The sequence below is a fragment of the Homo sapiens genome, chromosome X, assembly GCF_000001405.40.
Source record: "Homo sapiens chromosome X, GRCh38.p14 Primary Assembly".
Taxonomy (NCBI): domain Eukaryota; kingdom Metazoa; phylum Chordata; class Mammalia; order Primates; family Hominidae; genus Homo; species Homo sapiens.
The window spans coordinates 145,816,824-145,832,154 of record NC_000023.11 but is presented as its reverse complement, the minus strand read 5'-3'; the positions used below and the strand labels follow the sequence as shown (position 1 = coordinate 145,832,154).

The following is a 15,331-nucleotide window of genomic DNA, read 5'->3' as shown; positions in this document are numbered from 1 at the left end:
TAATAAAAACTAAATGATAAGCTCTGGAAGAATTTATCATTCAAGCTCGTCAGAGACTGCATTTTCTCTTAACTCAGAACGTCCCAATTCCAAAAGCCAATAACAAGACAATCTCACCGCTCTGCAGTAAAGCTACTTTTAACTCTAGAATGAAATCATTGGGTTCAATGGACAGACCGAAGTGTCACTTAAAAAATCAGGCCTGCCTGCATGTAATTAACTTTAGATCTTGGCTATGTGTTACTACACTTCTCTGCCATCCTCATGGGGTATGTCTCTCTGTGTGTGTGTGTGTGTGTGTGTGTGTGTGTGTCTCATAAAATTCTGAAAATATTCAAACCAAATAGTTTAAGACTTCCAGGAACAGCTGATAATTCATTGTAATTATGCTTTAAACTTAGATCCTCTAGTTTTCAACCATTTTTCAGCATTTATTTGAGAACCAGAGCCTCATTCACCCATTCACTCATTTATTCACTAAACAGAAGTATTTATTGGAGAGTAAGGTATTATGCGCCAAAACACTATGCCAGGTGTTAACAATATAAAAGTAAAAGGCAGATCAGGGAGGGATTTGTCTGAGGATTACCCAGAGTACAGTCCATCACAAATCTTGTCTGCCTGGTAGTCTCTTTGTGAGCTGGAAAGTACCTTAGATTGTATGTTGTGGTCCACATTCTGCCAAGATCAAAATGTCCCAAAATTCCAGGAAACAATCTGACAGATAAATAGCTTAAATGTTCTTTTATCATAAATGTTGATAGGAAATATAAAATAATAATTTAAAATAAAATTAACAAAAATGATGTATAAGTAATTACAAAGTTGTTGCTCAGGGAAGTATGGATGAGGAACATTTTCCACCCCTTCCAAGATTGACAAAATCTATTCTGATGCTTTTTTTTTTTTTTTTTTTTTTTTTTTTTTTTGTGACGGAGCTTCGCTCTTGTTGCCCAGGCTGGGGTGCAATGGCGCAATCTCGGCTCACTGCAACCTCCGCCTCCTGGGTTCAAGCGATTTTCCTGCCTCAGGCTCCCAAGTAGCTGGGATTACAGGCATGTGCCACCACGCCCAGCTAATTTTTTGAATTTAGTAGAGATGGGGTTTCACCATGTTGGTCAGGCTGGTCTTAAAATCCTGACCTAAAGTGATCCACCCACCTCAGCCTCCCAAAGTGCTGGGATTACAGGCTTGAGCCACCACACCCGGCCTATTTTGATGCTCTTTTTCCAGTATCAACAGGCACATTATGAACTTAATATTTTATATTACATGTGTTCAGAATGGGGAGCTGTACACTACTTTTATTCTCATTTCAACTGATCTTGTCAAGGGATCTAATAACCTGGTATACTGGCACCAATTCTCCTTTAGCAAAACACTTTTGAATGTGGCTATTCCAATTGTTTCAGCTGCCCTATGAAGGCTACGTGAATAAACTGAATATATTGTGCATATATTGGTAATCCTAAGAGAGGATAATTTGTTATAAGTCCTCATGTTCCCACAGGAATCTCAAATCCTTTGTTATGTTATACATTTGTGATTTGGAGCATGCCTGGCAGATATATTCTAATATTCAACCAAATGCAAATAGCCAAAGTAGTAACTTTGCCATTATATCACCATAATCATAGGAACAAATGAACCCCCTGCCTTTCTCTCTCATTATTTTTTCTAAATCTACTTTTTAGGAATACAGTGATGGCATTTCTATTAATGAACTCATAATTTATATTCCTTGGATTTGTACGTCAGTCTTTTATTAAGTACAAATATATTAGGTCACATACGGTGTTAGACTGAATTTTATAATTAAAAAACAATTGGCTCTGGTGTAGATGTATGTCTGTGTCTGGTGAGGAGAGTGGGGAATCAGTACTTTTTTCAGTATTTAGCAAAGCATCTCTATTTGAATTGTTTTTGTTGTTGTTTACTTGTAATTTTTTAAGTCTAATACTAATGAACAGTCATGGAAAAGTATGAATATATATTTTTATAAAGCTTATTTTACCTTAAACATGTAAACTAATCATATAAAGAATCAAAGCCTTTATCTGTGAGCATATCAAGGCGAAGAAAACAGTTTCAATTATAGTTTCTCATTCATTTCCTCTTCAGACTCTAAATATCTTTTCTAACTAATTTAAGTGTTGTTAGTGAATATTTATTTATTAACTGAAATGTAATTACACATAAAGTAACTGTGTAAACAGTTTATCCAATAAAACCCAAGATCATTTGATCACATTTCCAATGTTTCATTTTGCCTATTAACAGCCCAAAATATGACATTTATTTTTTGAAACAATGTCACTATTAGGCACAGAAGTCTATTTACACAAGAGCTTGTTTCATTTGACATTTATTGCAATAACTTGAGAACAATTATTTGCAACTAAATCTAACAGTATTTGTACGAGTACTTTCAAGCTAAAGTACTGCTAAAAAATTTCAACATGCATGCAATTCGTTTACATAATAACATAATTTATTATAAAACCTGTGACTCTGAGCACTTTATGGAATATGTGCTTATGGAATACCCTCTACTGTAACATGGCCACATCTGAGAAAAGAGATGCTGCTGAGCAGAAGAGTCCTGTGTTCAATTTTGTTGAAATGGGTTGGCTGCTCAGACTGTTCAGGACTGCTACTGTGCTATGATAGCATTGCTTGATAGCTCAATTCACATCAGACTTCAGAAGACTTTCAAGCACAAGCCGTTAGCCACCAGCAAACTGGTAGCACAAGCAGCCTTGGCAAAACACAGTTACTATGCAGGTGGGCTCTGTTTTAAGCAAAGTCGATATTGAAAATCCAAACATACAAAAGAGATAAATCAGAGAATGGTTATTTGTATTATAAAATGGTTTTCTGCTTTATGAAAGAATTCACAAGTTTCCTCTAAATGGCAGCTCCCCTAATGCATTTAAAATACAATTTGATTTACAAAAGTTCAATTTACACGTGACTTTTTGCACAATCATTGTGAGAAGCAAAGTACACCTATATACAGTACTTAATTTTCTCTCTCAGGATTAAGGTGTCTTATCATTGTATTGATAAAAGACACTTAAGCCAAAACGTTATAATTTAAGCCACTGAAATAGAAAGTAAATATTACCTCTGAAACATGGATATTCCAGAAAATTTAAGTACCTTTTTAAATTTTGTATTTACAATCTTGGGTAGTCATCTTTACAAAGTAGTGCTTTAGATAGCACAAGTATATAGCTTTCATTAGGCCATAACATTGGGCCTTATTTTGCAAAAACAAATGTTTTATTATATCTTATTTTGGTGTTTAAATTTGTTTTATTTTATCTTATTTTGGTGTTTTTTTTCCTTTTTAGCTGTGTAATTCTAAAGAGATGTTAGACTAAGCTAGGCTATTTATTATATATCTGTTTTATACCTTACTGCACAGAATCACCTTTAAAAACTTAACTTCCTGCATTGCATTACTGTCTCCACTGTTAATCTGGGCGATTGCCATTCAGGTAAGACTCTCTCTTATTAGCACGAAGCTCCTTGCTAGGGTGAGAGTGAGTAGTAGGGGGTGGCGTGGAGGGTGAAGAGGGTGTTGTGAGGAGGGTAGAGACCCTGTCCACTGTATGTCTCAGGACATAGCCTAGAGCCAGGCACCCAGGAAATAAGCACTCAATAACTACTGAATGAACAAATGAATGAAGAAATGAATGGACTGGGAGAATTGTCTGGACGGCTTTCTTCACTCTAGCATCCAACCCAGTATATTTCTGGAATATGTAGAATCAAAATGAATTTTCAGAGTCTGAAAAATCACAGAACCTCTTTCTTATTCCTTAAATGCTTTTTGTAAAATTCATAAATTATTAAGCCCTTGATGACTTGGAGACATTAAGAAAAATTAAGTCACAGAGGTCAGAGGAAAAAGAAGAGGAAATTGAAGGGTCATTTCCTTACTCACCAGCTGCTGGAGAGAACTAACAAGGCACACAGGTTGACCATAGTCCAGAACCAAATTAGGCTCTTAGCAATTGTGTTCATACTGAGAAGTGGTATTTTTGAGTGTTTCAATAAAAACTTAGCCACAGGTATATTCGGAAATAGTGAAAGCAACTAATTAAGAGCTAAAATAGAAGGGAATTACCATTTGTCATTTGTAGGGCCAGACATACAGATATGTTCTTGGCAGGGCCCTGGGAGACTGCATTCTGTAGGCTGGAACCATTTTGCTGTGCTGATGCTCATACGTCTTAAAGCTGCATGTGAAATAAAAGTGAAATAGCAATATCCAGCTGTGGAAGATAAAAATAAAAATCCTAAAATAAAATATGGTCGAAAGTGCTTGAGCAGATAAAGCAAAACAGAATATAGTCAGTGGGGATGCTAGTGAGTTAATAAAACTTAAAATGTTTATGATTGCATTAGAAAATAAAGGTTCAAAGTATATGATGTATGATGATTTTAAATAAAATAGTCTGGAATACATTCAAATAATTTCATTTAAAAATCTACTGCAAATTAAGTATAACTGTAACAAGCAAGAGGATATAGAATTAAACCATAATTATTAGGCAACAGAGTTTATAAATTTGAGTTCTCTCAGTAGGCGTCTTTAAAATCGTGTAAGTAAGTTAATATTAAGGTATCATCTGTCTTTAAACTTAATGAGTTAATATTTTTTCTATGGACAATGGCATTTTACAGGAGTATCTTTACTTTCAGAAAAATAAAAATGAACACTGAAGTGGAATCACTGCATCAAGAGCCTCTAGTCATATAATTTAAGCCTGAAAATGATCTTAACAGAATATATATGCAAATTTGCCTTCACAATCACTTCCCAAAATACCTACCTCTGTATTCTGTATTTATCATTGCATCAAATGAGAGCAGTCAGAAAAGGATTTTTGAAACTCTTTTATATATAAATACTTCACTCAAAGATGAAGTGGTTTCCAGGAGTCTTCTCCACATTCAACTAGCATAATATTCTAGTTCCTCTTCTGTGAAATGTAAAATATCTGTACATTAACTTTCTTGAAGATCATTTCAGCCCACCATTTTCAACTTTCTTCTAATGGATCGAAATAGGAATTATCACCTCTAATCAAAGAATGAGCATGTTAGCTTGCCACTGTAGATATTCAGAGATTTTATGTTGTTAAAGATATGTTTCTCTTCAATGCCCTTTACGTTATTATATACACACAATTACCTTCTATTGTTTTTACAAACAACTATTTTACACCAGTAATCATTAATCCAAATAATTTGGATTTAAGGAATTTCTAATTGAAAGCCTATCACATGAATTGTTTATAGTGACAGACAATATACTATTGGTAATTTTAAAGCTTTAAAAGTAAGTTATCAGTATCCACTTCAATCTCCACATGACGATAAAGGATTATTATGTGCAGTAACCTATTTATGAAAAGGAAACAGTGTGCTTCTTTCAGACGCCATCGCTTGCTTTAATAAGGAATTGAAAAGCTGAACTACTTTATATGCAGATCACCATCCCAGTTGCATAAGGATTTACAATAGACAAAACAAAACTATTTTTTGTTGTAAAGAAGGGCTGTTTGTTTAAATCACACAATCACGTTTGCATCTAAAATTATTTACAGTCTAATAAGGCTTCATAAATGTTATATAGACTTGGCTAATTAAAATCATTTTAATGCTAACACCAAAATGAAAGTCTTGCTCAAGCTGACAAGGAAAACTTCAAGTAACACAAGCCTAAAGAAGGCAGAAGGAAAAAGATGCTTAATGTCTTGGTTTAGGTAACTATTAATCGATTTGGAGACGCAAATAGTACTTGATTTGATAGCACCCCATTAATGCTTCAATTAAACTCAAGAGGAAAATGCTGTTTTGTCAGAAAGTGTTAAACTTGAGAAGGATTATGAGTCTAACCCGTGATCTAAAATAAATAGAGTAATGGATACATTTTTATCTCTGCTACCTTGAATTTTGCAGAGAACTTACTTGGGAAGTTTTAATCTCACCCATGAAGTCTTCCTTCGAGGTCTTTAATGGCTCATATGTCTTTGTTAAATGAGGTGTGTGGCGGCCTCTACTGGTGTGTGTTTATAGAAAATGTTTCAATAGGCAGAAAAAATATTAATTTCAATTAAAAAGTTAGAAATACAGACTTTTTCATTTAAATATATAAAAATATCTAATTCAATGCAGAAAAATATATTACTAGCTGTGTCACGTTCTTTTAATTAGGAAAATAATCTAAAACACTCACCATGTTAGTGTAAAATAATGATTTATGGAAGGGCATTAATTGCTCAATTCACTCTGATATTGGGTTAAATATATTTTATTAATGAATTATTAATCCTGACTGAGGTGGCTTATTACCTCTAGTCCACTGTTAAATCCCCTTAGTTGACTTAAATAAAATCACTTAAACCCAGAGGAAAGGAAATATTTTATAGTTAAGCCTACAAAGTCCTAGAACTAGAATCATTTGATGACAGGCTGGTTTCTATAACTCAAGCAAACTGTACGTTGACTTAATATAGCTGACACATCAATCTATTTTACAGTGTTTTCAATTTCAAAAATACAACACATTAAAATATTTTCAATTTATCAAAGCTAAAAGCAACATTTAAGTAATGTACTTAAAGTGCGAAGGCACTTTAACACAAAGTAGTGATACCCAGTGGCTATACTCGGTAACTGACGATGGAAATACCATATATCATTATTTACAAAAGAAGTTGTAGTCACAAAAGATCTTTGGAGATCTTCTACAAAATACACTAAATATCCATTTTCATTTGAAAAGTTTGCCTATTCTTTCTTCAGTCACTATAATCTCCTCTTCCCACTCCCACACTGAAAAACAAAGAAGAAAAAAGAAACAAAACCATAAACAAAATCTATGAAGAAATGCATTGTAGAAACATTCATGTCCACTGATGGTTCCTAAGAAGAGAAGGGAAAAAGAAAAAAAAAAAAAAAAAAAAAAGGAGGGGAGGAGAGCGAGAGAGAAATAATTTAAAGGAAAACTTGCAAAAGCAAAATCATGACTTCATCCTATCTCCCAAACATTTTCAAAGTCCCCCATTAACACTGGGAAAGGGAGAACAAAAACAAACACAAAAGCTAATGTCCTTGTTTCCAACAGTTCGGAGCAGCATCCTCTGATGCCTTAGGGTTGTAAATGATTTCCCTTCACAGCTGACTGATTGCAGTTTGTTTTTCCAGAACTTCGAGGTAGTCCGGTTCTGATTGCGGCTTAGCTTGCAGTAAAGGGTGGTTGGGTTTTGACTGCCCCACAAAGCATTTCCTGGGAGTTCCATATAAAACGGTTTTATTGATTCTGTCTTGGTTTTGGCGTCGAGATTCATAGGAAGGGGCAAACTGCCTTTTAGGTAAGGTACAAAAGTTATAGTGGACTAGGCCTGCGCTGGGAAGTTCCTTGACTCGCTCAGCAATATTTTGATACAGCAGCTCAGGCTCTCTTGGTGTGGCCTGCTTTTCTAGCAGCTCAGTGGCACTTATTGTGTAAGCAGGTGTGGCTGGCTCTTCTTTTTTCTCCTCCAGGTTGCTATAGCTGAACTCTTGCAGGTTTCGGTAATAGGCTACTGGGTCTCCTTCCTTCTGCATGTAGATGGGGTTTTGGCACATCTGACCCACAGGTGGGGGGATATAGTTGTAGACATGGCCGTCTGTTTTATCGTGAGTCTCAGTGTTGTAAGACCCATACTGTAATTGAAAGGAGCTTACGTCTAAGTTGTTGGTATTCCTGGGAACGCTCGGCACTCCCTTTCGGCGTTTCAAGACAAAGACGAATAAACCAGCCCCAAAACAGACAGATAAGATGAAAACAACAAGCAATCCCAGAATTAAGACAGACAGTGGAACTTCAGTGTGTAGTTCAGGATAGGAACTAGGAGACACACTAAGCGACCGAGGTGTGTCTGTATTGTGATTCATTGACAAGACGGTTCCATCTGACAAGTTTGGGCTGTCTGGACAGATAGCCTCCCTCCCCAGAAATTTTAGTATCTCCCCTGCATGCTTAGCAGGAGATTCGCAAGTCACCTCATTAATGATGACAGGGGAATTGGCATGTTCTGTCCAGTCTTTCAGCCCCATGATGTCACAGGTACAGTCCCAGGGGTTCTCCTGCAGATCTATCTGGATGAAAGCCGGGAGCTGATCCAGAACCCCTTTCACGGGCAGGTGAGAAAAATGGTTGTTTCTCAGATTCAGCCTGGTTAGGGCCGTCCCCCCAAATATATTATCAGGTAAGGACCGAAGAAGGTTGTTGTTCAGAAACAGTAGCTGTAGGTTAATCAAAGCATCAAAGGTCAGAGGCTTAATTTCCTTAATGACATTATACTCTAAATAGAGATATTGCAAGCTCTGCAGTCCATCAAACATAGAAGGGTACAGCACTTCAAGGTAATTGCCATTCAGATAAAGTCTGCGTAAACTGGTCAGGTTTGTAAAGGCACCTTCCTGAATGACTGCAATCCTGTTGTTTCCTAAGTGCAGTAAGTCCAAAGAACTGTATTCTAAGAGGTCATTCTTATAGACAGTTTGAAGATAGTTCCCTGTTAGGTAGAGTTTCTTTGGACTGGTCGGTTTGGGCTGCAGGTCAGAGATATTAGTGAACTTCCTTTCTTGGCAGTTTACATTCAGACCATTGTCTGAGCTCTGAGAGGTGCAGACACAGCTGCTGGGACAGGTGAGAGGCACAGGAGACTTGGTCTGGTACACCATGATGGGTCCAAAACTTTGCCTGTCCTTTGACACAGTCACTCGAGGAGTTGGACGATTTCTCATTTTGGGCGGCCGGCTGGCTTTCGGAGCCCTGGTTGGGTTGAGAGCAGGATTCATTGTAGGTGACAGCCTTTGGACGTGGGTGTCAGCATGGCTGCCCCTCTGACTGGAATCACTGGCACTTTTTCTGGGACAGAGGTCTTGCCTGGTCAGCTGGGTCACGTCTTTCCCATGCAACCTAAAGGGAGTCTCACAGACAATCTCTCCCACAAAAACAGTTATGGTGTCTAGCCAGGCCTTGAGAGGAAGTAAGTCACAAGTGCAATTCCATGGATTTTCCTCCAGCTGAATCTCCATGATCCCTCCAATATGTTCAAGGACGCCAGCAAAAGGCATTACTTTTAGCCTATTCCCCCTGAGGTCTAAGTGGGTCAGCAGGACAAAGCGGAACACATTGCTGGGCAGTGAAAGCAGAAGGTTGTCATTCAGGATGAGCACTTTGAGCTTGTTAAGTTTGCTGAATGCCCCAGCCTCGATGGCACTGATGTAATTGTAGTCGGCCTGGAGATACTCCAGGCTCTCCAGGCCTAGGAAGGTGTCCTCCCTCAATATCTCAAGCTTGTTGTTGTTGAGATGCAGTCTTTTGAGAGTTTTCAGGCCACTGAATGCCCCCGTTCGGATCTCCTGTAACCCGTTGTTACCTAGGTGAAGAGTCACCGCGTTGGAGTAATTGACAAATTCGTTTGGATACAGTCTTGTCAAGAGGTTTCCATTGAGAAAAAGCTGATAGATTCGATACTGGGGGGGCTGGAGCAGGCTAACTGTTGTAAATCCTTTGTTCTCACAGTTGATATTCAGTACGTTTTCCTTTTCTTCGCACAGACAGCGGATCTTGCAAATGTCTTTGGCAGTTTTGCGACTCTCTGTCTGTAAGATCCCGGCCACGGTTAACACACTGAGGAACCAAACGCCGCTCAGCATCTTTAGGCACCTTCGGTGTCAACTCAGGTACCTACAGGCAAACCTTAGGTGGGGGCAGGGGGAAGAAGCGGGTGCAGGGAAGAAAGAAACAAGGAAGCCCGATTAAAAATGGTAAAGCAAGGAGGCGGAGTGGGAGCGAGGGAGAATGAGGGGGTTAGCAACACGGCAGAATGAAATCATTGCATTTTCCAAAGCGGTTTCTTTTCTCCGCTCCCTATTCCCCCATCCCGAGGCCACCCACACACGCGCCCCGGGAACACACATGCTTGCACCTGATTTCCCGGGGGGTCGCAGCCAGCCGCCAAGTCATTAGTAACCGAGTTGTCCTACTAAATCCTGCCCATCTCCTCCTCCCCTGGGGTATCTCGAAGAGATCTCGGGCAGCTCGCCCGTCTTGAGCTCCCAGCAGAAATCGCAATCGCTTTAGGAAAAAAAAAAAAAGCGCAAAAAGGGGGTGGGAAAATCAGGAATCAGGGGGCTGGCGGCAGGTGTAGAGGAGAGATAGAGATGGGAAAGACAGTGCGAGGTGGGGGTTACTCACACATCAGGAGAAGACTGAATCCCTCTCCTCTGCAGTCCACCAGGAGTTTAGCATCTTCAGGAAGTGGGAGAACAAGGTAAAATAAGACGCTGCTTCCAGGGGGGATGCCCTGCTTTTTGTTGGTTGATTTAATTTGACTGGGGGTGCGCAGAAATTAAAAATCCGACAGGAGGCAGGAGCGGAAGAGAAGAGTTGGAGCTGAGGGAAGCCGAGCTGCCAGGGAGGGACTGGGGTGCGATTCTGTAGGGAGGTCGGAGAGCCGGCTGGCCCGGTCGGCGGGCGAAGGCGACGACGGAGCCTGGGCGCGCGTTTCCAATTCGGTGGCGGTGGCAGCAGTGCGTCTAGCAGTTTGAATCTGAGAGGCTTTGCAGGCTCCCCGGGACAGGACTAGGGTGACGTCACGGGGGAGGGGGCAGGCAGAGGATCCAGGGCGCGCGGTGGGGGAGGGTTGGGCAGATGCTTCCCTTCCTTGCAAGTGGCTTTGCAAAGCTCAATTCCCGGCTGCGTCAGTTGATTCTGAACTACTCCACCTCCAACCTGGCTGGCGGCAGGAGAAGCTCCTGCAGAGGGGTTTCTCAAGGAGGGGCCCTGCTAATGGCCTGGCACCTCCTTGGGCCCCTCTGTGTGTTCTCTCTCACTCCTCCCTCTTTCTCTCACCTACACAATGCCTATGGAGGGCAGGGGTGGGGGTGGGGGGTTCTTCTCCCAGATTCCCAAGCAAGGGAGAAGCGTGTGTGTGTGTGTGTGTGTGTGTGTGTGAGTGAGAGAGAGAGAGAGAGAGAGTGTGTGTGTGTGTGTGTGTGTGTGTGTGTGGTGTGCCTCTTTGCTACAGGACTGGTGCCCCACTTGCCAGCTCCTAGCTCAGATGCTCTCTGTGCAGAGAGTGGGGTGTGTGTGCATGCACCAATGTGTCTGTGTAGGAGGGTGAGGAGTTCTCTTAGGGGATTTATACTTTACATACAGAGCCCTGATTCAGTGCTAAGAGAATTCCTTTCTGGGTGGTGACCCACCAAACATATTTGCCTGGACTCTGAAAGTCAGCTCAATGTTAGCTTATAGACTGAGAAAAACAAAAACAAACCCCTTTTCTCCCTGAGGTTTATACTTAGCCAGATAATGAGGTTTAAACGTGCACTTCTTGCCTGGAGGAAGGAGAAAAGAAGTGGGTGTCAGAAAAGCACTGCCAGGCTGAGCCTCAGCTGGGAGTGGGAGCCAAAGGAAGGGTGGTTGAGCCCTCCAGGCTGCAGGGGCAGGGGAGCTAGGAGAAAAGAGGAAGCTGGTGCAGGAAGACTGGCTCCTGAGAAAGAGAGGAGATGGAAAAGGAATCCTGGCCTGAGACCGAGCTTACCTGGGTTCTGATCTGGCTCTGTTGCTAGATGTGCCACTAGCTTCTGGATCTTCCTGTGTCCATCTGCAAAAGGCAGGTAGGTAGACTGTATGGGCCCTCCCAGCTCTGATATCCAATGCGGGTTTAAATAGCCTTTCCAGAGCATTGCTAATGGCCAGGTGTTGGATTTTTGCCTTCATTATCTGTTTTCTCCTTAATTATCTTACAGCTCCTTGGACCCAAGAGTCTTCCATTGTGGAATCAATTCGCAAGGGGTAAATAATGTCTGCTGTTGCCTGGAAAGGCCTTGGTTGCCTCTGGTAGGAAGGGGGAGATGGGTCAGGAAAAGGAGGGAATCAACCAGGGAAAAGGAGTTGACCAAATGATGTGCCTGTCCCACAAAACACTTCAGCTTGCTTTCCCGGAGTCCCACTGCCTGGCCAAATGTGGAATAGATAAACACACAGATACAACAAACCACTTGAGAACAGAATGACCCTTGCTTCTCCCCTTCTCCTTCCTTGTTAAGCCTAGGTTCTAGGATTGTTCCCTTTATACAAGCTCCTTTCTCTCCGGGAAGGGCGGGGGTAGTTTATAAACTTAGGCACTAGGGCCACCTGTAGCTGGTGATCTGTGCATTATTTTCTTGAGCTTTCTCCCTTTCTCCTTCTTCTTCTTCTAAGAGCCTTGGACCAGGCATCAGAAGCCCCCTTACCCTCTAATTCTTGCTTGGCGTTTAGCAAAATACTTTCCTTCTGGAGACTCAAATTTTCCTTCTCCATAGAGAAGGGCAAACTTGAGATGAGCTCTGAGGCAGAGGGACAGCCCTGTGGATGGCCTCCCACCCTGTATTGCAATTGCATCATTAGATGGAAGCAGTCTGATGCAGTGGGAGCACAATTAAGCTCCCTTTCCTAGCAAAGGAGGCATTTGTTTCTATGTATTTCCAAAGGTTAAAAGCACATAGTTCCTAGAGCAATAAGATTTATTCATTCAGTCATTCATTCAACAAACATGTATTATGTCAATATTTAACTGAAGTAAAGACGTGAGAGCCGAACAAGACCTTAGAAGTCAGGTTCATTTTACAGATGAGGTCATTTCTTAACCAGGGAAAGTGCTGACTTACTCAAGAAACTACAAATAGAAACAAAACCCAGGGATTATGAGTCCCAGTCCATCATCTTTCCAAAAAGCACACTACTGCTTAATATGAATTAAAAATCTACTTAAACGTAAATAGCAGTGGTAGTGTTTTACTTAAAGGTATCCTTTTTATTAAAAAAAAATGTATTTGAAAGTGAAACATCAAATACTAGTTTCGGTTCTCAGATACAGTAATTTCCTTCAAGACATTGATGACGCTTTCAATATTCCTTGAGGACAGATTATTTTTGCGAAGAATTTCAGAGACAGGAGAGAGATTCAGAGAGAAAGGTGGAGGTGGTTGGGGGCTCATGAGATTCTTGAGACCTACAGAATCAAGGAAATTCATGGGTAATCTAACTGTGGGAAGCGACACTCGGACCCTAAGGAGGTCTTCGTTCCTGCCTGTCCTTGAGAGTCCACAGCTGCTTTCCAAAACGTAGTTACTAGGAACAAATCAGCCTGAAACGCGATAACCACTTTAAGTAAGTTTCATTTGGCCCCGTGTCTTCTGAAGAACTGCCGCAGCACTCCGCTAGGGAGAGCGGGCTTTTAAGGCTGTGGAAAGGTTCAGGGTGAACTGGGACCCCAAGGGAGGGAAAGGCGGTCATTAAAATAAGGAAAACGCTCCCTCTCCTTGCTGAGGCAAGGGAGGCTTAAAGACGAACTCCGTCGCCTGTCTCACTCGCATCTAACCGAGTAGAGCCTGGCTCAGGTCTCCAAGCCTTCCACAGGACACGGTGGGTGCCGGCGGGCTTACAGCCCACCTCCGTCCCGGCCGCCCATCAGGCCACGAGGGGGCTAAGAGGAGTCCGGGGAACCAGAGAGGGGGCACTGCTTGCCCGCAGCCTCTTCTTCTAAACACCCGCCGCCCGCAAGCCGGGTCGAATCCCATTTCCGAAGGGCGCTTCCGGGAGACCAGGTGTCTCCGAGCGTCCCCGATCGCCGGTAACTGGGCACCGGCCGCCAGCGCAGCCCTACCTTCCCTGCCCCTACCTGCTAGACGCCTGGTGCGGTGCCCGGCATGCGGACCTACAGCCGCGACGGCCACTCGGGCTGCCCTCGCCATGGGACTTGGGCACTGCAGGCCGACCGGAGGCTTCTAGCTCGCGCCGGGTGCGTGGGCCCTCCCTGGCCGCCTGTGCCACCCCGCTGCGCGAGGCGCGGAGCCCGACCACGCCCGCGCGGACGGTCCCGGGGTGAGGAATCTCCAGTGGGGATTGAGGGTAGAGGGCGGCCGCCAGCGAGCTGCCCTCCGCGGATGGCGCCCAGCCTCCCCACGCTGGTGCCCCTCGCAAGGAGAGGTGGCCGGGAAAGGCAACGGACTGAGGAAAGCCGGCTCACTGGCCGCGTCGCCACCGCGTCCCTGAGTGCTCAGAACTTACCGAGCGAGCGCGCCGCCCAGATCTTTTCCCGGAGGCGCCCGCAGCATCTGCGACTCGGGGAGGCAAAGGAGCCGGCACCGCCTCGGACTGGCGCAGCCCAGGAGCGAGAGCACCGCGGGGAGCGCGGGCGGCGCCCCCAGGGCAGGCAGATCCCCACCGAGCAGCTAGCCAACGGGCAACGCTTCTTGCAGGAAGGAGGGAGGGAGGCGAGAGGGAGGAGGGAAGTAAAGCGGGAGGGAGGAGAGGGGAAGAAGGGAGGGAGGAGGGAGGAGGGAGGGAGGAGGGAGGAGGGAGTGAGGAGGGAGGAGGGAGGGAGGAGGGAGGGAGGGATCGCGTCCCCCCTCTCCCTCACTTATCAATCACCCCACAGATCAAATATCCGGGCTGTGCACCCAGGACGGGGATGTAAGAGCCCACAAAGGAGCCGCTGCTCCATTTCTCTGACAAGCGCTGCGGAGCACTGCTCACGCCTCTCGGTCCCTCTTGCCTGGAACTCTGCCCAGCCCTTGCGGCTTCCACCCTGGGCTGCAGCTCGGGCTCGGTCAAGTGAAATAAGAATGGCACACGGTCGGTACCATGTCCAAGGGGAGACTAAGACTACTGGGTGGAAGTTAACGACAAGTGAAAGAGCAGTCAGCCATCCGAGCTGGACACCCTCCGGGACAGCTGCCTCCCCTAACTAGTAAGCGCCCAGTCTTTGGGAGTTCGCAGGCAGATATTTAAGAACCTCCTACGAGGATCGTAAACAAGGACTTTCAACATAAGATAGAGCTGAACTTGAGTTGTGCAAGTGTGTTAACAAAGCAAGCCCTTAGCAGCGTTCCAGTGCCCATTTTGATTCCCTTTATTCTTCACGACGACGTTGCCTGGATCTTCTAGAGCGTGATTTTTGCCATCCTCCCTTCCCTTTTCTCCTTTCTTCTTCCTCTTATTAGTAGTCCAGGTGGTTGTGATTCTATTAAAGGAAGGCGCTCTGTGAAAAGAGTCAGTGTAGTTCAAGAGGGAGGTGCGGTTTTTGCCAAGAGCATTGCGTTTCCCCTCAAGACTTGCTTTCTCTAGGGCCTCTCCTCTACTCTTCCAGAGTATTCGAGATAAAGTTGCAGTTTGATAAATTTATGCCAGGAGTAGGGAGTTCATTTGATGACACTAAGTCATTTTCCCCTCCATCCTGTAGGAGAACGTCATTAATTCAAGTCGTTGCCA

General features: G+C 43.4%; 1 protein-coding gene across 14 annotated transcripts; it reads right to left on the bottom strand.

Moving 5' to 3' along the window:
- SLITRK2 (SLIT and NTRK like family member 2) lies at positions 2,299–14,326 on the bottom strand. 14 transcript variants are annotated; one of them, XM_005262343.4, is made up of 5 exons: positions 14,129–14,326; positions 11,619–11,681; positions 10,271–11,412; positions 9,992–10,150; positions 2,299–9,772 (listed from the first exon to the last, which is right to left on the bottom strand). In XM_005262343.4, exon 5 carries the CDS (start codon positions 9,727–9,729, stop codon positions 7,192–7,194), a length of 2,538 nt encoding a protein of 845 aa, XP_005262400.1. In that variant the 5' UTR covers positions 9,730–9,772; positions 9,992–10,150; positions 10,271–11,412; positions 11,619–11,681; positions 14,129–14,326; the 3' UTR covers positions 2,299–7,191. The 14 variants fall into 14 exon arrangements, with proteins under 14 accessions (XP_005262400.1, XP_005262399.1, NP_115928.1 ...); XM_005262342.4 differs by having other exon boundaries at positions 10,002–10,150; NM_032539.5 differs by having other exon boundaries at positions 10,002–10,150; positions 10,271–10,807.

What these genes read in the sequence shown, in the direction of transcription:
- SLITRK2 (XM_005262343.4), bottom strand. Translation starts at nt 9,729, where the DNA reads ATGCTGAGCGGCGTTTGGTTCCTCAGTGTGTTAACCGTGGCCGGGATC.